This window comes from Homo sapiens, chromosome 5 (assembly GCF_000001405.40).
Source record: "Homo sapiens chromosome 5, GRCh38.p14 Primary Assembly".
NCBI lineage: Eukaryota > Metazoa > Chordata > Mammalia > Primates > Hominidae > Homo > Homo sapiens.
In genome coordinates, this window is record NC_000005.10 from 150975694 (window position 1) to 151001072 (window position 25379).

The 25379-nt window shown below is 42.0% G+C and overlaps 1 long non-coding RNA gene and 1 pseudogene across 1 annotated transcript, besides 1 other annotated feature; one reads left to right on the forward strand and one right to left on the reverse strand.

Annotated features, from left to right (window-relative positions):
• Positions 2726-3482, forward strand: LOC100419553 (zinc finger protein 35 pseudogene; annotated as a pseudogene).
• Positions 9871-20496, reverse strand: LOC105378228 (uncharacterized). The gene is made up of 3 exons (XR_007059002.1): positions 20444-20496; positions 17819-18067; positions 9871-10037 (listed from the first exon to the last, which is right to left on the reverse strand). It is a non-coding gene; the product is annotated as an uncharacterized LOC105378228 (long non-coding RNA).
• Positions 20981-21147: a silencer, noted in NCBI's record as "fragment chr5:150376236-150376402 (GRCh37/hg19 assembly coordinates)". NCBI's record gives its function as "represses an EF-1alpha promoter that drives an FKBP-Casp9 reporter gene in an ReSE screen in phorbol 12-myristate 13-acetate-treated (for megakaryocytic differentiation) K562 erythroleukemia cells {active_cell/tissue: K562(+PMA)}" and the evidence as "EXISTENCE:reporter gene assay evidence [ECO:0000049][PMID:32094911]".

A 25379-nucleotide genomic window follows, 5' to 3' on the forward strand; every position in this document is an offset into this window, starting at 1 on the left:
ATTTCTCCCTAGTTTGTTTTTCCTTAACATTTGAAAAATGTTCTCATATTTCTTCTTTTTCTCCATTCCCACTGACGTTAGCAAAAATGAGGCCAACATTCTCTCTTCTTCTATTGTTCCAGTTGGATTTATTGATTTGATTCTTTAGATCTTTTTAAATGTTTCTGCCAGATATTTTTACCTAAAGCATTTTATTTATCCTATCAAGAGCTTGATAAAATAAATCTGCAATTGTTCTCCATTATCTAACATATGGTTTTTTGTTTCTTTTTTTTTTTTTTTTTTTTGAGATGGAGTTTTGCTCTTTCTGCCCAGGCTGGAGTGCAATGGCGTGATCTCGGCTCACCACAACCTCCGCCTCCCAAGTTCAAGTGATTCTCCCACCTCAGCCTCCTGAGTAGCAGGGATTACAGGCATGCACCACCAAGCCCATTAATTTTGTATTTTTAGTAGAGACAGGGTTTCTCCATGTTGGTCAGGCTGGTCTTGAACTCCCGACCTCAGGTGATCCGCCTGCCTCAGCCTCCCAAAGTGCTGGGATTACAGGGGTGAGCCACTGCGTCCGGCCTATCTAACATAGGGTTTTTAAATTCTTAAGTCCTTCAACTAACTAGCCTCTTTAATGTTACTTCTCCATCTCCCCCAAACTTAGCCTTACTCCTTTTGAAAATACAATTAATGGCCTAAAAGGGACAAAAGTTGTGTTGAGGCCTCTGTGGAACCAACACTGGATACAGAGTGTAAATCTATTCATATAAGCTAATGACTTAATGTTGGGAACTGGACCAGGAAGCTCAGTAGAATTGTAGAATTCTGAGCCAAGGAGTGACTTCATTGCTCTGGATGTAGATAGCACAAGTGTAATAGTAGTCAGGTACAGGCAGAAGTTTATAAAATAGGTGAAAATGAAGGTTGATAAGAATTTAGATCCACACTGAGAAATCTGCTACTTAAGGGTCCACATTGATGATATCCAGAAGTTGGGAAATCATGGTATAAAGCAGAATTAAGAAAGTGAGAAGGGCTGGCCACAATGGCTTATGTCTACAATCCCAGCACTTTGGGAGGCCGAAGCAGGCAGATCACTTGAGGTCAGGAGTTTGAGACCAGCCTAGCCAACATGGTGAAACCCTGTCTCTACAAAAAAATACAAAATTAGCCAGGCGTGGTGGCACACAAGAGGCTTAGGTGGAAGAATCGCTTGAACCCAGGAGGCAGAGGTTTCAGTGAGCCAAGATTACCCCACTGCACTCCAGCCTGGGTGATAGAGTGAGGCCCTGTCTCAAAAAAAGAGGAAGAAAGGAAGGGAGGGAAGGAGGGAGGGAGGAAGGAGCACATACTTGTCTGAGGATCAGTAATAATACATATAATAATAACATCTGACTTTCATTGAAAACATATTATGTGCCAGGTAGTATTCTGAGTGCTTAAATCTATTGATTCATTCTGTCCTCACAACTACAAGGTAGTCACTGTTACTATTCTTTTTTATAGAACAGAAAATTGAGGCCCAAAGAGATCAAATAACTTACCCTGTCCCTAATTAGTAATGGAGCTAGGACTCAGACCATGGTAAGCTGGATTCAGAGCCTTTGTACTTAATTGCAATGCCTCTTGCATATGCGCTAGGTAGGGAACAAGGTGATAGCAGAATTTAATAGTCAGGATTGATGCAGTATTCCTGAACTAGTATAGAATGAGCTAGATTAAAAACTCAGCAATTAGAATTCAGTAGCGAATCAAATCCTGAGATAAGTAGGATTTGGCTTATCCTGTGGCCAATTTTCCTCGTATTAAACATATAAATTCATGGGCCTTCACACCCATAAAAGAATAAATTAGTATTATAATTTTTAAAATATGATTAAAATTAGTGCTTTCTGAAGTACTGGTTAGGTGTTTCTGTTTGCAAAGAGAATTTATGGTTTTGTAAGATTAGTTTAATGTTGATGGTGGAATAGACAAGAGCCAAAAGACACTAGAAGCAAAGAGAAAAATGAAAATTAAACTATAGCAATCCAGCAGTTAGTTAATAAGGCTGCAGCTCAGATATTCCTGTTCCTCATCCAGTCCTTACTTTTTTTCTCCAATCACCGTTGTTACCCTGGTCAGTTTTAATTCTGCTAAATAAGCTCTCCCCACTGACCCTGTTGCAACTGTCCTTCTTTGTTCCTTTTTACTATTCCTCAAGATTATTTAGTGTTTCTGCCCAGTTTGCAAAATCCTATTTGTATATAGCCATATATACTTTGTTCATTGTCATATTCTGTTTCTGTTTCTACTACTGCAATTTTTAAAAAATGTGGTTTTCTTTCTTGAAATGCTCAGGGGGATAGACTCCATTTAGCCTTGATATTTCTTGTAGGCCATATGTATATTATGCATGAAAGTAAAGATTCAATCTCATAATATGACAAAAAGTTATGAGTCATAATACATTAGCAGATATATTTACCAGTATATAGTTAATTGTGCTTCTTTCTAGAAGTCTGGCAAGACTTCCAACCACATGCAGAGGCACCAGGAGAACCAATAAACACTTTTGAGGCATGTTTCATTAATAGACCAGGGAACTGAGACAGAGGAAAGGGGTGACAACTGTAATGCTCTTGAAAATATATTTCATCTGAGCCCAGACTTTATTTCAAAAATTCCAAAAATGTGGCTGTTATGGTAGGAATTTGAACTATTTGGATTTATTTAGTGGCAATAGAAGATATGCCACAAAAAAAAAGAGCATAGTGAATGTGAAAAAGCCTCCTTCCAGAAGTCAGACCTCATTATGCAAAAGAGAACCATAAGAGAGAAAAGCCCTTAATATGTACTAAGTGTGGGAGAACCTTCAGCAGGGAATCAAATCTCATTATACACCTGAGAATCCATACTCAAGAGAAAACCTACGAGTGTGTTGAATGTAGAAAAGCTTTCTCCCACAAGTCACATCTGTTGAACGTTAGAGAATTCACACCAGGGAGAAACCCTATGAGTGTGGCGAGTGTGGGAAAGCCTTTTTCCAAAACTTACACCTCAGCATTTACAGGAGAACTCATACTAGAGGAAAACCCTATGTGTGTGATGAATATGGGAGAGCCTTCAGCCTGAAGTCACACCTCTTTGTACATCAGAGAATACACACAGGAGAGAAATCTTCTGTGTGAACTAAGTGTGAGAGAGCTTTCAGTGAAGTGTCATGCCTTATTAGACATCAGAAAATTTACACTAGAGAGAAACCTTATACATGTAATGAGTGTTAAAAAGTTTTTTCTCAAAAGCCTGACCTCATACATTACAGAATTCACACAGGGAAAAAAACTCATGTAAATGCAGTCAATGTGTAAAAAAAAGCCTTCAGACATAGATCAGCCCTCTGTCGACATAAGAGGACTCATAAAGAAAAACATCCCTGAACAAGAAATAAATATGGGAATATCTTTAACTAGAACTTGTAGTGATAGAAAGCCTTCAGTCAAAAGCAAACCTTATTATTTATCAAGAAATCTTACTGAGGATAAGCCTGTTTAATATATTTATAAAAGCGCGCAGTTATGTTTCTATAGAAAACATATTCCAGATGTGATTCCTAAATATTTCTTGAGGATATTACAGAAAATACATTTTTATTAGAGAATAAATGTTCACTGTGGACCACAAAGGCTTTTAAAATATTAATAAGTGAACTAGTCAGAACAAACTTAGAAAACGATATGTGGACAACCCACAAGATATGAATGTTACTATATGTGCCACTACTTATTGCTGTAAGTCCTGGCTGCACTACATTTTGCTATGCATCATATAAAATAAGTTATATGTGTTGGAATTGCATATGTGAATCTAAAAATTTGTAAATATAAAATAATTACTATATATAGAATGCCATTTACTAAGACTTTCTACATTAAATATTACCATTTTTCCCCTAAAGAAAATACAAGTTATAACCAAAAATACAGTGTTCAGTAAGAGTTCTAAAGTGTAAAATAAACTTTTTTCTGTTGCTTTCTGGTATGTATGACTTCTGCTGCTTCTTAATGAGAAGTACATAAAGGTGTTAATTACATAAAATATATAAATATAAACTAGATATCATATAAGTCTCAGTAGCAAAAGAAAATAGTCATGGCCTCTTACAAGACTCACTGCAATTTAAAAAGGAATTCTTGGTGGGTACAATTACCCTTTTTACATACTGTTATGGACTGAATTGTACCTTCCCACCAAATTCATATGTTGAAGCCCTAATCACCAATACCTCAGAATATGACTGTATTTGGACATACTGCCTCTAAAGAGTAATTAAAATAAAACCATTAGGATGTGTCCTAATCTAATCTGACTGGTGTTCTTACAAGACCTAGAGAGTAGGACACACGAGGAGACATCAGGGGCAGGTGTACACAGAGAAATGACCATGTGAAGTGGCAGCAAGAGGGCTGCTATCTGCTAGCCAAGAAGAGAGGCCTCCAAGGAAACCAACCCTTTTGCACATTGATCTCAGACTTCCAGCCTCCAGAATTGTGAGAAAATAAATTTCTGTCATTTAAGCCACTCACTCTAATATTTTGTAAGGCAGCCCTAGGAAACAAATACAAACACTACTGCTCTTTTTCCCTGGAGTACTTTGTAAGCTTGAGTATACAAAGTATAAGTACTACGTAAGCCAATAATATGATAGAGTGCTTGCTATACTGCACGGCATCTCTATTTGGCATTTTCTAATTCACCTTGTGACAGATTAGTAAGAGAGATATTTTCATAAGGATTTTACAATTCACAAATATTATAAAGACTTTTTGCAGAGAGAATTGTTCATTTTTAAAATTCCATCTAACAGTAGGGGTAGGTATTCTGTAAATTTCCATGTGAGTATCCATGCCATTAAAAATCAACTTGTTCCTTATTTATAAATTAAAAGTGGGGCCTCATTCTTCTAAAGCAAATTTTGACAGGGAGTTAAGATTACAAGGCAGAAACCTACAAGAGGTGTTAAGAGCTCTTATTCTGGATTTAGACAGATGTAGATTCTGAATCTGCTCTGAGCCTCAATAGCACCTAGTTTGTTGGATCATTGCAAGGATTATACAATATCATGTATGTATGGTGCTCATAAGATGTTAGCTATTTTATATTATTTAAGGATATAATTCCCATTCTAGTTATGAAGACAGACAAGGAAACAACTCTAATTAGGATTATATTAGAGAGAACTGTAGGGAGTCATGTGTATCATTCTGTTTCATTCTCACAACCATGTCAGTCTTTCAGACTCAGGTGTGGGCCTGGAACCACTGCCCTGAATTGCCCCTCTACATCTATTCTATAATTGCTTGTTCAGAAGCAATACCATTGCTGATACCCCAAACTCCTTATCTTTATCTCATCTACTGATGAGACCCATTGCTTGGAGGGTAGTTACATGGAAAGCCATTCACAAAACACCTTATTAACTTTGTGGGTGAAAAAAAAGTGTATCTTAATTGTATTAAGCCACTGAGATTTAGGGATTGATTATTAATAGCAAATAGCAATCATTTTCTAGTAGAAAGAAATTGGTCCTGGAAGTGTCCTGCTAATGTAATAAAAACCTAAAATATGGCATAGGCCTAGTAGTTGAGCAGTGAGAAAACTGATGTCAGAAGTGGAAAGATGTTTATCTATGTTTTGTACTAGCCAAACATTTGGTTTGGGCCAGGCGTGGTGGCTCACACCTGTAATTTCAGCACTTTGGGAGGTCAAGGTAGGCAAATTGCTTGAGCCCAGGAGTTCAAGACCAGCCTAGACAATGTGATGAAACCCTGTCTCTATAAAAAATACAAAAATTAGCCAGATGTGGTCGTGTATACCTATAGTCCCAGTTACTCAAGAGCCTGAGGCAGGAGGATTTCTTGAGCCCAGGAGGTTGAGGCTACAGTGAGCTGTGATTTTGTCGCTGTACTCCAGCCTGGGTGACAGAGCAAGACCCTGTCTCAAACAAAACAAAACAAAACAAAACAAAACATTTGGTTTGATTGTCTCCTCTACACATGCTTACTTTGTTGACAGCTCCAGAAGATAATTAGAAAACAGAGTATTAGTAATATTTGCTGTTTTACTGGCTGTATTTGGAAGCTATTGTAAGAAAAAGATAAACTCAGAGAAAATTAGTGGATTATAAGCAAAAATGAAAGAAAATAGAGTCCTGAAATTTGAGACCTCATGGAGTTTAAAAAATTTGATTTCTAGACTTCAAATGTTAGGAGAATAATTTAAATGGTTTTGAGTGTATCAAAGACCTAATAAACATTTGCTAGTGAAATAAAGTGACTCAGAAGAAAGATTATATTAAGAAACTGAAACCTTCTCGTTCAAGCTTGATAACCTTACAGTAGTCTGTTATTCACCTACCCTAGCTCCATGATGGAGAAGCTCAATTTTAGGCAGCTACAGCCAAGAAGACTGGGGCTCCCATACCCAACCTAGCTCCCACTTGTAGAGCAGAGGCTCTTGCCAAGGTAAGAGAGGCTAAGAGTATTGGGACCTCAATTGCCCTCCTCCTCAGCTTTTCTCTATAGAGTAGATGTTTCATGCCAGGAAAGGCAAGCCAAAAAAAAGATCATTCTCCCAGCTCCCACTAATAGGATAGAGGCTCCAGACTGGCAGGAGTACATTAAAAAGATCTCAGGCCTTCATCTTCCTACCAAGATCTCACTTGCAGGAAGGAGTATCCCTGCTAAGAAGCTTCCCCGGATTCCACTGGTAGGGCAGAGGTGTCACTTCAGGAAAATCCGGCGTTCCCCTTTGTCCCCCGCTTCTGTGCAAGAGTGTAGATGTTATATCCAGGGAAAGAAGCAAGATGGGAGGGCCAGAAGCTCCTCAGCTCAGCTGGGGGGCTGACTGTATTTAATCATAACATGAAGGGTTGCATGAATTAAGGCATTGTTGAAAATAGAGATCTTAGTGGCAAGCACTTAAGAGAATTCTAATAGTTTCATAAAACAAGTAGCAACAAATGAAACAGCAAGTCACCCGGTTTAACAGAGTGAACAAGAGAAAGAGCTAAAACTGGAAGTCTGTGCATATGTCTATGTTTCACACATTCAGGACCAACCATAACAGGTACTAGCTGAACTTGAGTGGAATTGAAAGAATTTCCCAAGCCACACGCTGATACATTAGCAAAGAGTGGAAGTCTTACTAGCTCAAGGAGTGTAAGCACAACCCCTGACCAAACACTGGCTAAATGTTAAGATATTTTGACCCAACGGTGACTTCTAGGAAGCCAGGCTTGGGGTAAAAGCTACACACTGTGGGGTGGGGGGCGGCGGGGGGAAATAGAGTTTACAAAGTTGGTGCAAGCAAGCCACTAAACAAACTAACAAAACAGAGCCACATCAATAATCCCTAAAGGGGATGTGTCAGAATCCAGAGTTGCTACAATATATTATTTCAAAAACTATTAGAGATGCAAAAGAACAAAATAGTATAACCCTTGTAAAGGAAAAACAGCATCAATAAAAACTGCTTTTGAGGAGGTCTAGATGTTGGACCTGTAAGGCAAAGATGCCAAAGAAGCTATTACAAATATGTTCAAAAAACTAAAGAAAACCATGTTCAAAGAATGAAAGGAATGTATGGTGACAATGACTCATCAAATGGAGAATGTTAGTAGAATAAAAAGTGTTTAAAGACTCAAATAAAAATTCTGGAGTTGAACAGTAGAATACCTGAAATGAAGATTCACTTTAGGTACTCAAAAGTAGATTTGAGCTGGCAGAAGAATCAGTAAGCTTGGGGCTCGATCATTCGATATTATACAGTCTTAGAACAGAAAGAAAAAATAATGAAGAAAACCTGAGCAGACTTCTGGTTTCTAGTCTGACATGTAAAGAGCTTGGAAGTTGTCAATCCTATCATCACAACCAGAAAAAAGTCTGAAAAACTGGAAATTAACAATTCTTAGATCCTTCAAAGAATCAAGGTCACAGGACAAACCACTGCCCCAGAAACTAGAGAGACAGGTAGATGCTGAGAATCACAGGTTCACTGACAGCGGAAGTCCACCACTAAAGTCAATATATTTTAGGAACACTTAAACTACAATTGATGAATTGCTAGAGACTAGCAATAAAAGTGCCAGCATTCTAGTTGATGAAAATGTTGTGACCAGAGGCTTACATGAACCTAATCCTGTATTCCTCTTGGAGCAATTATTCAGTATTTACTAATACAGTGTTTGTGGTGGATTTATTTAACATAAGTACTGTGAATAATAAAATCAACTGTATATGAAATCTTGACTATCCATTTACATGTAGGAGAATCAACAAATGGTATTCTCCACAAATGGAATCAACCCCTAGAAGTTCCTGAGAAATCCCTGTTGAGTGGGAAAGGACCTAGAGCCAAGGAGACAAGGTTGGAGGTGACTGGTCCTCTTCCTTTGTTCTTCCACTGAAATTACTTGAGAAGCATCATGACACATCCTTATACACAGGGTATGGTGGAAAAATAATTGGCAGTCAAAAAGACTTAAGTGTATGAAGACTTAAGCATGATACACATGGAGAAGGTGATGGTGTAAAGAATGACAATGGCGTCTGAGTAACATTCTGAAGGAGGAGGGAAGTTCAAAAGGTGGGATGGTGTGCCTGGATGAGACACATGAGGGAGAAGGATTTTCTATGGTGCTTCTGTTAGTTTAGCAGGTAGAATGCCCCTGTGAAGGGTACAGGAAGCATGTGGCAGAGTGGGTGCCTAAGTCTGGGTTTAGGGAGACTTTAGAAACAATTTGAAACCCAGGGTCTTACCCTCTGTTCACCTCATAGAACAGTAAAATCCCTTGGATCAGGCAAACTCTGATGAAAAACCCAGACTGCCATCTCTCTCCCAGATGGCCAATTTTCCTTCTGGTGCTGGCGAATGATGAAGTTGTCTTCAGGAAGGCAGAATTCTGCTGCGTGCTCTCCTCTTCTGAGGAGTTATACCACCACACAGCCTTTGCTCCCAGAAAGAGTCACCATCTTGTGTTCTAACATGGATCCCTTGTAAGCCCATACAAACCACTCCATCCATACTTAACTGCTTTCTCCACAAAGGCAACTGAGTCTAGGAGCCAATGGACTATCTCACTTTATTTTTTAAAATTTACCCAGGGCACTTTTTCATGTTCTTTCTTCTCCCTGGAACTTACTAGCATTATGGAACACAAGGATGTGTTTGTGGTCATCTTCTCTTTACAAGATAGGTCACATAGACCCATAAGTAGGCTGTGTATACTTTTCTTACAAAGGAGGTGTCACTTACCTTGGGAATACCAGCCAGCCACATATGAAATCCCAGACACAGGAGACCCCTAAGAAAAAGGCGAGGCTGTCTGTAACTGCCTTAGCAACTAAGCCACCAGTGGATTCAACTCTTAAAATTACAGCACCATGGAAACACAAAATCACAGAATTTTGGATTTGGGTAACACTAGAGAGCTCACATAATTAAATACCTTAATAGAAAATTCTCATTTACTAATTAGAAGTTTTTAACCATGTAGTGTAACCATGTATACACTATTCTCAAAGAGAATGGGAATATCTTCTTCAGTTACTTAATGAAAACATACAAGGAATCTGAAACCCTAACATACCAGAATCCATGGGACAAAAGGAAAATTATTTGATCATGGGATTCAGAAGCATTTACTGGATCAAGGTTTAGAGATGCTGAAAGTAGAGAATCAGTGTTAGGTTTTGGAGGGAAGGCAAGGGTTAAAGGAAGACAGAGAGAGAAACAGAGCAACTCAACAGCAAACACAGGTATATTGCAGACACCTGTGGAAGCGGGAGACCCGCTTAATGCCAAAACCCACCACCACTTACAAGCAGCAGTACTTACAGGTATGGCTGGGAGAAGTCTGGATAGTGTGGCTTGCTGCCCGGCAGGATATCAATAAGATGTACCCATGATAGGGTGGTTTGACCCTTTTTCTGGTGGGATGTCATCATGGTGTTCCTTGGGCCTTTGCCCAGTAAGACAGGATAGGGAGGTTTCTTTAGTTGGGCCTTTGCCTGGTAGGGTATAATAAGAATGTTTTTTTTATTGGGCCTTTGTCTTCCTTGTGGTCAGGTGGCCAGGTAGGATGTTTCTCATGGCCCAAACCCCCGTGGAATGTTTCACTTTGACCAAGGTCTGCAAAATAGCAGGGGACTTACAAAATGGTGCCGTTTGCACTAACACAAAGGTGAATGGCATGGGGAATGGTAGGTCAAGAAAGCTGCTTCCTTAATTTATCCCTTCTCTTGAAATGTCTTCATTATTAAGACTTTCATTTTAACTGCCTTTGGAGTTAAAATATAAAATATGAATTTTAACACAGAAGTGTGAATGCTGGTATTTTTGAAATCAAGTTCTTATAATCCCAGGCTAGTGACAGCTTGCCTGGGCAACTAAGTAACTTAAGTTCATAAGTAAACACTAACTCTGCTGAAACTAAATAACTCATTTTAGCTTCTGAACATTTTAAGCATTTCTCATTCTGGATAAGAAAGAGAAATGCTGAAGCAGAATTTATTTCATCTGCTTTAGATGAATTTAGGAATCCCTTGCAAGGCATAAAACTAATTTTGTGATCCTTTGAGTAATATGGATTTCTGAGGAAATTCTAGATTCAGAGAAGTGCTGGGCCAGATTTTGGTTAAGGCAATGACATGGAAAAATTTTTCAAAGAAGAGGTAAAAATATGTAGTGGAGTTTTTTTGTTTTTTTTTTTTCATAATCAGGAGTTTGAGAGGGTATAATGGAAGTTGTTAGGTTTTGACGGGAAGGCGAGGGTTAAAGAAAGACAGGGAGAGAGAGTTAGCAGCTCTACAGCAAACACAAGTTTTATGTCTAGCACAAGACCTGCGGAGGTTGGGGACCAGCTTAATGCCAAAGCCCACTGCCGCTTACAGGCTGGGGTACTTATAGGTGTGGGTGGGAGGGGTCTGGGCAGTATGGCTTGCTGCCTGGCAGGATGTTGATAAGATGTTCCCATGATGAGATGGTTTGGTCTTTGTCCTGGCAAAATGTGATAGTGATGTTCCTTGGGCTTTTTCCCAGCAGAATATGGTAAGAAATTCAGGTGGTTGAGCAAAATGTTTCTCATGGCCTGAATCCCCATGGAATGTTTCACTTTGACCAATGTCTGCGAAATGATGGGGGGCTTACAAAGTGGTACAGTTTGGATTAACATTCTTGCCTTCTACTTCAGTCTAAAAGGAAGAGGGGCATTGTTGATTATCTAGCTGCTTCCTGCTGAATAGGGGCACTGTAATCAGGGCTTGGGTTTTGAAGCAGTGGGTGTCCAACTTCAGAGTTGTTTTCCTGGAGATGTTGATACCAGACTTGGTGGGGAAAGATGGTATCAATGTGTTTCTGGGTGGCTGCCTAGACAAGGTAGTTCTGCCTTTGGGAGATAAAGTGGGATATGAAGGTAAGTATACATGGGCCAATTGTGAGTATTAGGAGGAAGATTAGGGGCCCTAAGAAAGGGGTAACCAGATATCCCTGTGCCAAGTGTAGCTGAGATGCTTAGTCCTGCTAACAGGGGAATGAAGTGTATAGCCCACTTGGTGTGTGTGGAGGAGGAGGAAATAGGGATTACTAAAGAACCTGAATGGTTTGATTGTTAGGCAAAATGTTAATGTTTGGAGATTGAAACACCAGGGTACATGTTCCTGACCAACTTGCCAGTAGGCAAAGAAGAGAGTTTGTTCCACACAGAAAGAAAAGACTGGGGGTTGACAGGCAAAGTTGTAAGTGAAGGCAGTGAGCCATGAGAAGCCGGGGGTTAAATCCTGAACAAACTTTTGTCCCAACTTTTTTGTTTTTCCAGGTTGAATAACTGTTAACAAGGATAGTCCCTGTTAGGGCCTGATAGGGATATTGGTGGTGAAGGCTGTCTGGTTTTAGACAGAGAGAGAGAAATGGGTTTTTGTTAACAGCCATTGCGGTCCTGACAGGGAAGAAGAATAAAGGTTGCAGTTGAGGGAATTGTCTGTGCATTTTTTTAGGGAGTTCCCTTAAGTTGGATGCATGGAGAACAGTGCTGGCAGAGAAGGGAGGGGTTGGGAAGGGATGTTTTATGGAATTCAGTTTGTAACATGTTTAGTTTACAGGCCATGAGACGAAAGAGGGTGCCAGCCCTGCGTGCGATGGTGCAGGTAGGTTTGATGGATTGCAGGGAAAGGTGTTTAGCCAAGCAAGATTATAAACAGGTTTTGGGAAGGGACTGGTTGAGTAGGTGAGATGCAGGTTTACTTTGGATCAAGTTTCTGTGGTTAGGTTAACAGGAAGGGCTGTGAACTGCTGGATTTGTGTGGACAAACAAATTTAACAATTGGAAGAAAGAGGAGAGTGTGACTGATTTAAGAGGTAATGTGTGAGGTTGACAAAGGAAGCCCAACTGCCAGAGGTTATGGGATTTAGAGTATCCCACAGCAAAGACAAAAGGGGAAAAAGAAGATTTGAGTACGAGGGAAATTTTGGAAGGTACCCTGCAGCCATAGCTCCTGGGTTAATGTGAGGAATTGGAGTGGACTATCCAGGGATGTGGGGAGGGAATATCAGGAAAGATCTGAAACAAGGTGTGAGATAACAGATTTGAACTTGGAGGCAGAGAGTGTAATGGACCAGGGCCTTCTGGACTGGCAACTTCTGGAATTCTTGTTAAGCATAGTGAGGTTGGTCCTATGAAGGAGGAAGAATATTTTGGGGGTGAGAAAACTTGTGGATGTAAGTCTGGTGCTGTTTTTAGTTTGGAATGGTGGATTTAGTGTGGAAAGGATGTTAGTTTTGTTGCCACAGGAGTAGTCAGGATTACCTGGTGAGGACCCGTCCACTTAGGTTGGAGAGGGGAGAAGGAATTGGTGATTTAGACCCAGTTCCCTGGTTGTAGGGGCAGGGAGGAGTGTTTGGAGGATGGACTTTTAGGCTGGGGCAAGTAAGCATTTGCGTACCGTCTTATTAGATGTTGAGTGAGGTATAATGCCAGCCAAGTATCCTGTATCAAGGAGGTGGAGGGGCGGGCTGGGGGCAGATACAGGGAGATTTTGGAGGATAAAAGGGCATTGGTACATGAATTCAAATGGGCTTAGGCTGAGGGGCGTGTGAGCAATGGCTTGTAAATTCATGAGTGCCATTGGAAGAAGTGAAGTTCAGGCCATTTTAACCTCTAGGAAGTTTGGTTATTTGTTGTTTTAAAAAGGCATTGACCTATTTACTTTTATCTGAAGATTGGGGGCAGTAAGGAACATGAAAGGCCCATTTAATGTTTACAGCCTCCACCAACTGTTGGTTAACCTGTGAAACAAATGTTGGCCCACTGTCTAACCGGATGGAGGAGGGGAGTCCAAACCAGGGGATCATATGGGTGAGGAGAATAGAAGTGATGGTGTGTGCCTTTTCGGTGGTGGTAGGAAAATCTTTTATCCATCCAGAGAATGTATCTACAATTGTCAGAAGGTACCAGGCCCATTTTATGGGGACCATGAGGGTAAAGTTGATCTGCCCGCCCTGCCCTGGCAGGTGTCCTTGGGCCTGGTGTGTGGGGAAAGGAGGTGGTTTGATAGCTCCCTGAGAGGAAGTTGTTTGAGTGCAAATGGAATATGCCTTAGTAATACCTATGAGATTGGCAGCCATGGCGGGAAAATATATATAAGCTTTTAAGAGCTAGAGTAGGGGGCAGTAACCGGCATGGAAATGGTTGTGCACATATGAAAGTACAGAAAGTTCCTGGGACTTGGGCAAGACAATTTTATTATTGGGGTAGAACCATCCTCCTCCCCAAATAGCACCAGCCCGGGTGAGTGAGGTTTGTTCCTCCTGGGTATATACAGGGTGTATGCTGGGAAAGATGGGCAATAATGATGAGGTTTTAAGGGCTGCCTGCTGGGCTGCAGAGTTTGCTGAGAAGTTTTCCTTGGTTATGGCATCTGTAGCCTTTTGATGTCCCTTACAATGGATAAAGGTGGCCTTTAGTGGTAGTTTAGCTGCCTCCAGCAGTTTGTGTATGAGTTTGCCATTTACTATGGGGGTTCCTTTTGTAGTTAGGAAACCTCTTTCCTGCCAGATTAAGGCATGAGAATGTAGGATGTGGTATGCATATTTGGAATCGGTGTAAATGTTAACCCTCTTGCCTTTACTAGGGTGAAGGCCCTGGTTAAGACAACTAGCGCCACCTGTTGAGAGGTAGTATGGAGCGGGACAGTGCTGGATTCTAGGAGTTTATTTTCAGCAATGATGGCATAGCCAGCTGCTGGACATGGCTCCCTAAAACAGCTAAAAAGATCTTCCATTAATGAATCATGTGGGTGTTCCCTGCAAAGGGGCTTTTGAAATGTGTTGGAAGGGGGAGAAGAGGGAGTTTAAGAGGTCCAGGCAGGAGTGAGAGAGCTTAGAGTCAGAGGTGTTTACAGGGAAGAGGGTGGCTAGGTTGAGAGCTTTACATTTCTAGAAGGTGATTAGAGGGTTACCTATGAATAAGGCATGTATCTATGAATAAGGCATCCTGTAAGCAGGATGGTGGGAGGGATAGAAGAGATCAATGGCTCATGAGATCCTGTAGGTTATGGGAAGATGCAGTAGTAATGTGTTGGTAGAGAGTAAGTTTCTGTGCCTCTGAGGCAAGTAATGTGGCTGCACCCAAGATTTTTGGGCAGGATGGCCAGCCTTGGATGATAGTCCATTTGTTTTAAGAGGTATGCAATGGCTTGTGGAGCATTGCCATATGTTTGGCAGAGTAGTCCAAGAGCAAGGCCTTGGTCAGAATGTACACACAGTGAATGGGGCCAGCCCCTCCACACCTGTGGGTATTTCTCATCAGGCAGGACGAGAGACTGAGAAAAGAAATAAGACACAGAGACAAAATATAGAGAAAGAAAAGTGGGCCCAGGGGACTGGGGCTCAGCATACAGAGGACCTGCACCGGCCCGGTCTCTGAATTCCCTCAGTATTTATTAATTACTATTTTCACTATCTCAGCAAGAGGAATGCGGCAGGAGAAGAAGGTGATAGTGGGGAGAAGGTCAGCAAGAAAACATGTGAGCAAAGGAATCTGTGTCGCAAATAAGTTCAAGGGAAGGTACTATGCCTGGATGTGCACGTAGGCCAGATTTATGCTTTTCTCCACCCAAACATCTCAGTGGAGCAAAGAGTAACAGCAGCATTGCTGCCAACATGTCTCGCCTCCCGCCACAGGGCAGCTTTTCTCCTATCTCAGAATTGAACAAATGTACAATCGGGTTTTATACCGAGACATTCAGTTCCCAGGGGCAGGCAGGAGACAGTGGCCTTCCTCTATCTCAACTGCAAGAAGGCTTCCTCTTTTACTAATCCTCCTCAGCACAGACCCTTCACGGGTGTCAGCCTGGGGGGCGGTCAGGTCTTTCCCATCCCACGAGGCCATATCTCAGGATGTCTCAGTGGGGAGAAACCTTGAACAATACCTGGCTTTCCAGGGCAGAGGTCCCTGCGGCTTTCCGCAGTGCATTGTGCCCCTGGTTTATCAAGACTGGAGAATGGCAATGACTTTTACCAAGCAACCTGCCTGTAAACATTTTGTTAACAAGGCACATCTTGCACAGCCCTAGATCCCTTAAACCTTGATTCCATACAACACATGTTTTTGTGAGCTCAAGGTTGGGGCAAAGTTACAGATAAACAGCATTTCAGGGCAAAGCAATTGTTCAGGGTACAGGTCAAAATGGAGTTTCTTATGTCTTCCCTTTCTACACAGACACAGTAACAGTCTGATCTCTCTTTCTTTTCCCTACAATACAGAGTAGAAGGCTTGGTGGAGTTGGGCAGTCCCAGTACTGGGGCCATTAAAAAGGGCATTTTTCAGCTTTTTAAAGTGGGAGTTGATGGGGCAAGCTGGGTTGAGGGGTTTTAGGATGAGCCCATGTGAGGCCATATAGAACAGCTTGGCCAGCAAGCCAAAGTTGGGAATCCACAGATGGAAGCATCCCATGCAGCCTGAGAAGGAGAGGAGGTTATTTTTCGTGTGGGGAAGAGGCATGTCCCAAATTAGCTCCTTTCATTGGGTTGGAATGGCCTGAGAATTAGGGGTTAGGACAAGCCCAAGGTAAGTGACCTGCATTTGGGCTAACCTGAGCCTTTGTGGGTAAGACCCTAAAATTTACTTGGTATGTCCCACCCCAAGATAGGGGTAGGGCACTGAGGGATAAACAGGAAAGAGTGGGTGAAGGGGGTGATGAATAGGTTGCATAATAGAGGACCAGTCTGTTTGTGCCTAGAGGGGATTCTATCGACTCCCACAATAGAGATAGAAGAACTGAGGAGGGGCTCAGAATATTCTGGTAAAATTGAATAACTAGCCTCATATTTAATGGGAAAGACATGGGCTTAGCAGACACTGACAGCATTACTCTTGGTTCCAAGGTGGTGATGGTGGTGGGAGTGGTGGATTCTGGGCCCTATCAGTCTTCAGGTAGAGGTGGTGAAGTGGGATAAAGCGTTTTGCTGAGCACAGTCTGAGATGTGCTCCCTGTCCTCCAGGGTGAGGGAGGAAGAGAGGATGACGTAAGTGTCATGCCAGGTAATTTATAAGATTGAGTGACATACAGAAATTCCTTGTGGAAGGAGGTGGGATCCATGGAAAAGAAGCCAAGTCTTTTTTCAAGCTGGAAGAGGTCAGCTAGGGAGAAGGAAACATAAACTCAGATTATACCTTCGGCCCGCGTGACTTCCCGCAAGGGGATGACTTTGGAAGGCCTTTGGGTGTATGCCTGGTTTTCAGAGGAAGGGGGTTAAGTGTGAGACTGGGTATGCGGTGGAGAAGAAAGGGGGAACAGAGGGCAACAATAAGGGATTGAAGGAGCCGGAGCTGAAGGAGGAGGAGGGGATGGTGGTGGGAGAAGGACTGAAGGAGGGGTTTTGTTGTCCGGGTTGAAATTAGAGGAGGAAGGCTTGTCTGAAGGAAGGGGCATTTTTGGGTTTGGAGGTTCCAGATTAGACATCTGAGAGTGGTGTCTGGAGGAAGTTTTGAGGAGCCTTGCCCCATACTGGTGGCTGGAAGGGTGAGAAATATAGAGGAGGGGTGTGAGTACCCTGGAGGGGAGTAAGTACCATGATTCCTCTTGGGAGGAGGGACATAAGAAAGCCAGGGCATCCCTGCAGCTCTTCACAGTCCTCTGGAGATCAGAGTGACTGGAGTGGCGAGCATTCTGAGGGCGTCCCCTGAGAAGGCAGACCATGGTCACCTGGTGACCAGGGAGACCTCTCACCCAGCACTGGGATTTTCTGGTGAAGGAGCAGAAGCATGATAGGAATCTGGAGAGGAGGTAAAGGGAGACTCACCCATTAATTGGAGACGGCGTTGGACGTGATGTTCTGCAATGGGGGTGATCCTTGCCGGAGCCACCCAGAAAGGGGGAGAAAGAAAAAAGAGGCTAGAGAGTTTGATCAGGATCTAGAGGTCAGCCCAGGGCCAAAGGAGAGAGAATAAGAGAAAAAGGGCTGCAAAGAGGGAGTCTACTCAGGATCTGGAAGCAGGCCTCAGTCTAATTTTTGCTGCTTGCTGCTTTCCAGGTTGCAAGAGAAGACTTACCCGTTTAGAACCCAATCTATGTCCTGGGTTTCTGCGCCAAAATGTAGTGGAGTTTTTTTCATAATCAGGAGTTTGAGAGGGTACAATGGAAGTTGTTAGGTTTTGAAGGGAAGGTGAGGGTTAAAGAAAGAGAGTTGGATGCTTTGCAGTAAATGCAGGTTTTATGTCTAGCCCAAGACCTGCGGAGGTGGGGGACCAGGTTAATGCCTGAACCCACTGCCACTTACAGGCTGGGGTACTTACAGGTATGGGAGGGAGGGGTCTGGGCAGTATGGCTTGCTGCCCAACAGGCTATTGATAAGATGTTCCCATGATGAGGTGACTTGGTCCTTGTTCCAGCAGAATGTGATAGGGATGTTCCTTGGACTTTTTCCCAGTGGAATGTGATCAGAAAGTCAGGTGGTCAGGCCGATGTTTCTCACACAGAGAACCACTTCCACAAGATTAATTTCCATACTCCTTCCACCACTTGTTTGAACCTTCAGCTTTATCCTATTAAATTCAAAACAATCTTTTAACTCTAGGCAACAATTTATATTTCCATGGCTTCTTATAACCTTTTAGTAAAACACACACACACAGACATTTTTCCAAACACACCTTGCATGTAAAAATATTTTTAGTAGTATCAATTACATGTTATAATGATGACTCTTAGCAATCTTACTTTTAATGTAAAAGCTGGTAAGTTATGTTAATTATGTACTAGGTGCTGATAAGGTCTTACTATTCCAGCATAGCTAGGGGTGTGGCCAACTCCACATGTCCCCAGGCCTTACCTAGCTGTAAAGCAGGCAAGTCAAACAATTTTCAAAAGCCAAAGAAGCAGTTTATGACCTTAAGGCACTTAGCAAACCTAATATTTGAACATAATTTAGATGACATGTTTGTATTTTGAAGACATTTGTGAAAACTTTACAGAGGAGATAAACAGTGACTTTCACGTCTCATTTAGCCAGTTTGCACAGAGAGAAAGAGGTCAGAGTCTGACTGGTAGGAAATTCTTATCCTTTTGCCAGTAGGCCAGGTTTCTGGGTTTTCTCTCCCTGAGCAGCCCTAGTGACCCTGCTCAACTGTATGCAAACAAACACACTACCATGAATTAAGAACATTTACAAATAGTTTACAAATTTTGGAGAAATTAGGCAGAGAGAGAAATATGACTTAAATTCTGTTTACAAAAGTATACTCAACATACTTAAAATATCAATAAGCCTAAACTCCAAAAAGTTAGTTTAAGGTTAAAAAGCTGATGTGTTCCATTAACTCCTGTGGGTCTGACAAAGGTAGCCTAGGAATTCCAGATAAATGGAACAAATGATGACTTGCTAGAAATGCACAGGAAACAAAATAACTATCCACAAAACCAAATAAAAGCCTTCTAGAAGCAAAAATAAATAAACAGGAAAGCAACCCTAATTTTTTCTTACTCAATTTACCCTGGAGGCTAAAGTGTTGCCCAGGGCCCCAAAAGAGCCACATAATAAATATTTTATTCCTGATACACAATTCAATATCCTTAAGTTCACCAATATCATCATACATCCTGTGCAATCAAGAAGTTCACTTTAGGCCCATGACCAATAAGCACTCCAGTGCCAGCACTATCCATGCAAAACAGTAAACATAGTGTGAAGCAGTGCAAGCATATCTGGGAAATTTGGCTCCACACTAAATCCAGCTTCAAGCTTAACTATATAAAAAAAAGAATTGCCAAACTGCCAATGCATTTCTTTACAATAGTTATTATTTTACTTTAATCAAGACTAAGAGCTTTAACTACGAAAATGTTAACTAGCCCAATGTCTCCAATTCTTTATCATGTTTTAAAGAATATTTTATTATCTAAACTTTTTCCACATCCTTCTCCCCTAATCACTGGTTCTTTACTACATTGTTTCACAAATAATTTTTTCAAATGTGTAATTTGAACTAACTTTTAGATAACTTCTTAATTAGACAAAATTATTCTTTTTCTCAGTAATAACACAAACTTTTTGGCACATTTTGTATACAGAACTCTGTGTTAACTAGAAGTATTATCCTTAGTAACCTAAAATTTTAGTGAAACCCTAAAAAGAAATACTGAACTATCAGATATGGGCATTTATAGATAAGAACAATTCCACAATTTTTAGAAACATATTTCCCCATATCACAACCCTTCCTTAATTGGAAATGACCCAAATATTCAATGAGCATCAAAATTAATTTTAAGCTTTTAATTTACACAAAAAGTTTACCTAAAACATTTATCCCATTTACTGTACTCAATTCTTTCATTTTTAACAGTTTATCTAGATTACTTCTGTAAACTGAGATATTAGACACTATCACTTAAAGTTAGTTATTTCCTTGCTAACCATGTTTCTAATAGCCAGTGAATATCAAGTGCTCACCTAAACCTGAGAGTCTCAGAATTAAATATATAAGTATTTTGCCAATAACTCAGAAGACGTAGCTAACATTAAATTGCTCTTATTTGTCAAAAAAAAAAGGCACATTTTGTTTTGGCTGGGTTTGTAGTTTTATAACATTCTATGCCAAACATTGACATCTCAAAATATTTAGCAAACACAAACATAAAATCCAGACAAAATGTATGCTGACAATTCTGAAGGCATTTCTATTTTTATTCTACCAATAATTTTAAAGCCAGCTTGTTTAGTAAAGTTATACTTAAGTCACTTTAACTTAAAAATCGCTTAGGCTTATTAATTTATGAGCGCTCTTTTACTTATAAGCCAATTTGGCAAACATAACATATAAGTGTACATACAAATAAACACATCTAGACATGTATACACACACACAAATGAAGATCTAATAGCTTGAAACCCTAGCCATGAGATAGCAACACAAGCTTACCGGTTTTACTTTGTTTGCCCCAGTAGGTAATGCAATGAAGGCTGTGAACCAAAATTTTGGGTAAAGCAATTTCCATGGCAGTTTGATTTTTTTTGTTTCTTTTTCTTTTTTTTTTTTTTCTTTGAGATGGAGTCTTGCTCTGTAGCCCAGGCTAGAGTGCAGTGGTGCAATCTCGGCTCACTGAAACCTCTGCTTCCCAGGTCCTGGTTCAAGCAATTCTCCTGCCTCAGCCTCCTAAGTAGCTGGGATTACAGGCACGTGCCACCATGTCCAGCTAATTTTTGTATTTTTAGTAGAGATGGGGTTTCACCTTGTTGGCCTTGTTCATGTCTTGAACTCCTGACCTCGTGATCTGCCCGCCTCGGCCTCCCAAAGTGCAGGGATTACAGGCGTGAGCCACCGTGCCCAGATGGCAGTTTGATTTTTTTTGTTTTTGTTTTTGAGACAGAGTCTCACTCTGTTGCCCAGGCTGGAGTGCAGTGGCGTGATCTCAGCTCCCACTGCAGTCTCCGCCTCCCGGGTCTAAGTGATTCTCCTGACTCAGCCTCCTGAGTAGCTGGGACTATAGGCACGCACCACCACGCCTGGCTAATTTTTTGTATTTTTAGTAGAGATGGAGTTTAGTAGAGATGGGGTTTCACCACGTTGGCCAGGATGGTCTTGATTTCCTGACCTAGTGATCCACCTGCCTCGGCCTCCCAAAGTGCTGGGATTACAGGCATGAGCCACTGCACCTGGCCCTAGCAGTTTGATTTTTAAAGGTGAAACCTCCCCAGACTCCAAAGAACACTAAGACCAAACAGTACCAAAGGAGAACATCACTCTTTCACCAGGCCCTCTGCTTAGAATAGCAGCACCAAAGCCTGGATATATGCAATGGCAATGCCATCCCAGTTTTCCATTCAACAGTAAACTCCGCATTCCAAACAATATTGGGGCCAAATAGCATTGCAACTGCGAGATAAAATTCTAAGGAGAGTTTAATACTAGACCTCAGAACCTCTGCCAAGGGCATCCTCTTTGGAGAGGTTGAGGTCCGGAGGATTCCCCTCTGGGGCTTCCCCTAGTGGGGCCCAATCTTAAGAGTGTCAGACGTCTCTGACCTTAGGTGGGCACCAGTCCTGCTTGCATGTTTTCCCTCTAAAGGGAATGGCCTACTATGAGCTTTCATTTTGTCCCTGGATGAAGGCCTTGACTTTTAGCATCCTTATAATTTGATAAGGCCACACTTTCCCATGTTTCCCATTCCATGAACTTAATAACTGGAGGCTGGATGTGTTTCTTTTGCTCTTAGCCAGTTGACTAGGGAAACGGAAGAATTACGCATAAGAAAAGGTTTAAGTTGCCTGAAACAGGCGAGTTTGCTCTGAGCTGTGCCACACATAGGGATCAGGGACCACACCCAGAAAAGATTTAAAAAAGAGTCCTTCTCCCTTCTGGGCAGGGCAATTATCCCCATTCACTCCATGGTCTTCAGGCAATATTGGGGATTGATCCCAGCCAATTTCCCTCAATTTCCAAAGAGCTACTAGGAAACAGCTGCTAAAAGACCAATAAAGAAGAAAAGGAAAAAAAAAAAGAAAAAGACCCAGGTCCCTTAGGCAAACCAGGTGGTGGCGGTTAGGCTTCTTCACATGAAAACCCCTTAGTATTCACCAGCCATGGCCAGAAACCTGCAGTTTACCTCCATGTTTACACGCTGCTCACCAAGGGTCCCGAGTGGGAAAGGAAAAGAGAGAGAGAGATTTCCCTGTATGTAAAAAGGGAAAGGAGAAAAATAAATCCCAAACTTTGGGCTTACCTTCTCCTGGCTGGCTCACCAAAATATGTTACCAGTGGAGGGTGTCCAGGTGCTTGGCATTTTGAACAAAGAATTGGACAAAATGCACAAACAAAGCAAGGAAAGAATGAAGTAACAAAAGCAGAGATTTATTGAGTACACTCCACAGTGGGAGCAGGCCCAAGCAGCCACTCAAGGGCCGGGATACAGGATCTTCTTGGGTCCAAATACCCGCTGGAGGTTTCCCATTGGCCACTTGGTGTTCACGCCATGTAAATAAAGTGGTGGCCCCCAATCAGTCTGATTGTTTGCAGACGGAAACCAATCAGAGGCTGAAGTGAAGTTACAAAGTTACACTCTTAGGCAAACGCCTGGTTGCCAAAAGCAACCAATCAGAGGTATTTTCTTTTTCTTTTTCTTTTTTTTTCTTTTTGAGACGGAGTCTTTCTCTGTCACCCAGGCTGGCGTGCAGTGGCCCGATCTCGGCTCACTGCAAGCTCCACGTCCCGGGTTCACGCCATTCTCCTGCCTCAGCCTCCCGAGTAGCTGGGAGTACAGGTGCCCGCCACCACGCCCGGCTATTTTTTTGTATTTTTAGTAGAGACAGGGTTTCACCATGTTGGCCAGGATGGTCTCGATCTCTTGACCTCGTGATCCACCCTCCTCAGCCTCCCAAAGTGCTGGGATTACAGGCGTGAGCCACTGCGCCTGGCCCAGAGGTACTTTCAATTAACCATCTGCCATGCAGAAAAGGTGGGAGTTTGCAAAGAGAGTAGCCTCTGGTCCTTTTGTTACTTAGGCATGGAAAGTTAGGGTTTTCCTTTCAATGTAGTTCTACGAAGTCAGCGTGAAATGGCCTTAGGTTTCCTATTCTCCTGCCTCACTGGTATCCAAGGGACTCTGCCATTAGGCTAGCTGTGGAGGGATGGAGAGAGAGCTGAGGCCTCAAATGCCAGTATTCCTTCCTTCCAGATTTGCGTGTAAGACCAGATAATCTTCCAGACCAAACAGTATCTGTTGATGAGTATTAGGCTCGAATGAGAAGGAGAGAGAAGTGGAGCACTGGATTGAAGAGAAAGCAAAAAACCTTCCTAGATCAACAAGGAAATAGCCTCTTCTAGAATCCAGATAGGGCCCTGGACTCCTGTGGGATAATGTAGTGGGTGAAAAAATTGGTAGTGAAGTCCTCGGATATGGGGATGCACTTGGAAGTCTTGGGAACAAGGAAGAGAGACATCCTGTGGTGGTGATTTTTAGATCCAACACCCAGGGGCTTGGGTGCCTTTGGGGGGATTAGTAGAAGAGATCGACACATTGAGGGAGGTTCAGGATAACTGTCTGAAAATGAGAGATTTTTATTGCTTATACTGATGTCCCAATAGGGTCTGTATGTGCTTCAAATAGGTAGAAAAGAATGAAGTCCGAGCCTGAAGATAACAATATCAGTCAGAATTTTAGGATTGTGAATACCTGTCCACAGAAATAGCTGGGCCCTGAGCCTCTGCTGATGATGTAGGAATGGAGGCAGTTAATAAGCTTTAAAGTCATAGGGTCTCAGGGCTAGGGTATGGTGAGGACACTTTGCCACCCCTAAGGTTCAAAGCCTCTTGGACTGGAGGAGGTTGTTAACAGATATTCTAGGCAGAAAAGCTGTGTCAGGTTGTGGTGTATGAAGAGGGAGAATTTGACACCAAATGGTCAGCTGGCCATCTGCTCACCTGTTCCCCTGTGCTCCCTACTCCCACAGGGTCTGCTTACAGAACAAGGCACAGCAAGGAGGCAAGACACAAGCAAGAAATGTGCTTGATGTTACCCACTGCAGTCCTTCTTCCACTCTGGAGGATTCTGAAGACTCAGAAGAGGGACAGGCAATGGATTCAGTCTAAACCCCAGGACCAGGACACTGCCTCAGCTTCGAAGCCTGGATGCAATGCTCCAGGGTATAACCACTGCCCAGAAGCACAGCTAGTACAAGCTGCAGCCTCAATCCAGGCAAGGAGCCAACTCCAACAGGTCAGGCTCCAAGGGATGAAGACTGAAAACATGAATGTGTTGTGCCACTAACTCTAGCGTTTGCTTTTCCTTGTGTTTTTGCATGCATTGTAGACCTTGGCATCAGCATTTGGCTAGCTTTAAGACAGAAACTGAGAAGCCTTTTGTGTTTTATGCGTCAACTTGACTGGGTCACAGCATGCCCAAATATTTGGTTAAACACGATTTCTAGGTGCATCTGTGAGGATTTTCTGGACGAGACTAATATTTGAATTTGAATCAGTGGACTAAGTAAGGCAGACTGCCCTCCCCAGTGTGGGTGGCCCTCATCCTTCTCTCTGCCTGACACTCTTCTAGCTGGAACATTTGTCTTCTCCTACCCTCGGACTCAGACTATGACTGGAATTGATATCATTGACTCTCCTAGTTCTTCAGACTCAGATTGCTCTCCCGGGACTTCTCAGCTTCCAAATCACATGAACCAATTCATTATAGGAAATTTTTTTATATATCCTATTAATTCTGTTTCTCTGGAGAACCCTGATTAATACAGATTTATTTTCCTACACTCCAGTAACTCTCCACTACTCCCTCCCTCAACCCCTGGTAACTATCCTACTTTCTGTCTCTATAAATTTGACTATTCTCAGTACCTCATATAAGAGGAATCATGCAGTATTTGTCCTTTTGTGACTGGCTTATTTCATTAGCATAATGTTTTCAAGGTTTATTCATGTTGTAGCATGTATCCAAATTTAATTCCTTTTTGAGGCTGAATGATACTCCATTGTATGTATATACCATATTTTGTTCATTCATCCATTGATAAACATGTTGTTCCCACATCTTGGCTATTAGGAATAATGTTGCTGTGAACATGAGTGTACAAATATCTGAGTCCTTGCCTTTTTTTTTTTTTTTTGGACACAGAGTCTCTCTCTGTTGCCCAGACTGGAGTAAAGTGGTGTGATTCTCGGCTCACGGCAACCTCTGCCTCCTGGGTTCAAGTGATTCTCGTGCCTCAGCCTCCCCAGTAGCTGGGATTACAGGCGTGTGCCACCATGCCTGGCTAATTTTTTGTATTTTTAATAGAGATGGGATTCGTCATGTTGCCTAGGCTGGTCTCAAACTCCTGAGCTCAGGCAATTTGCCCACCTCGGCCTC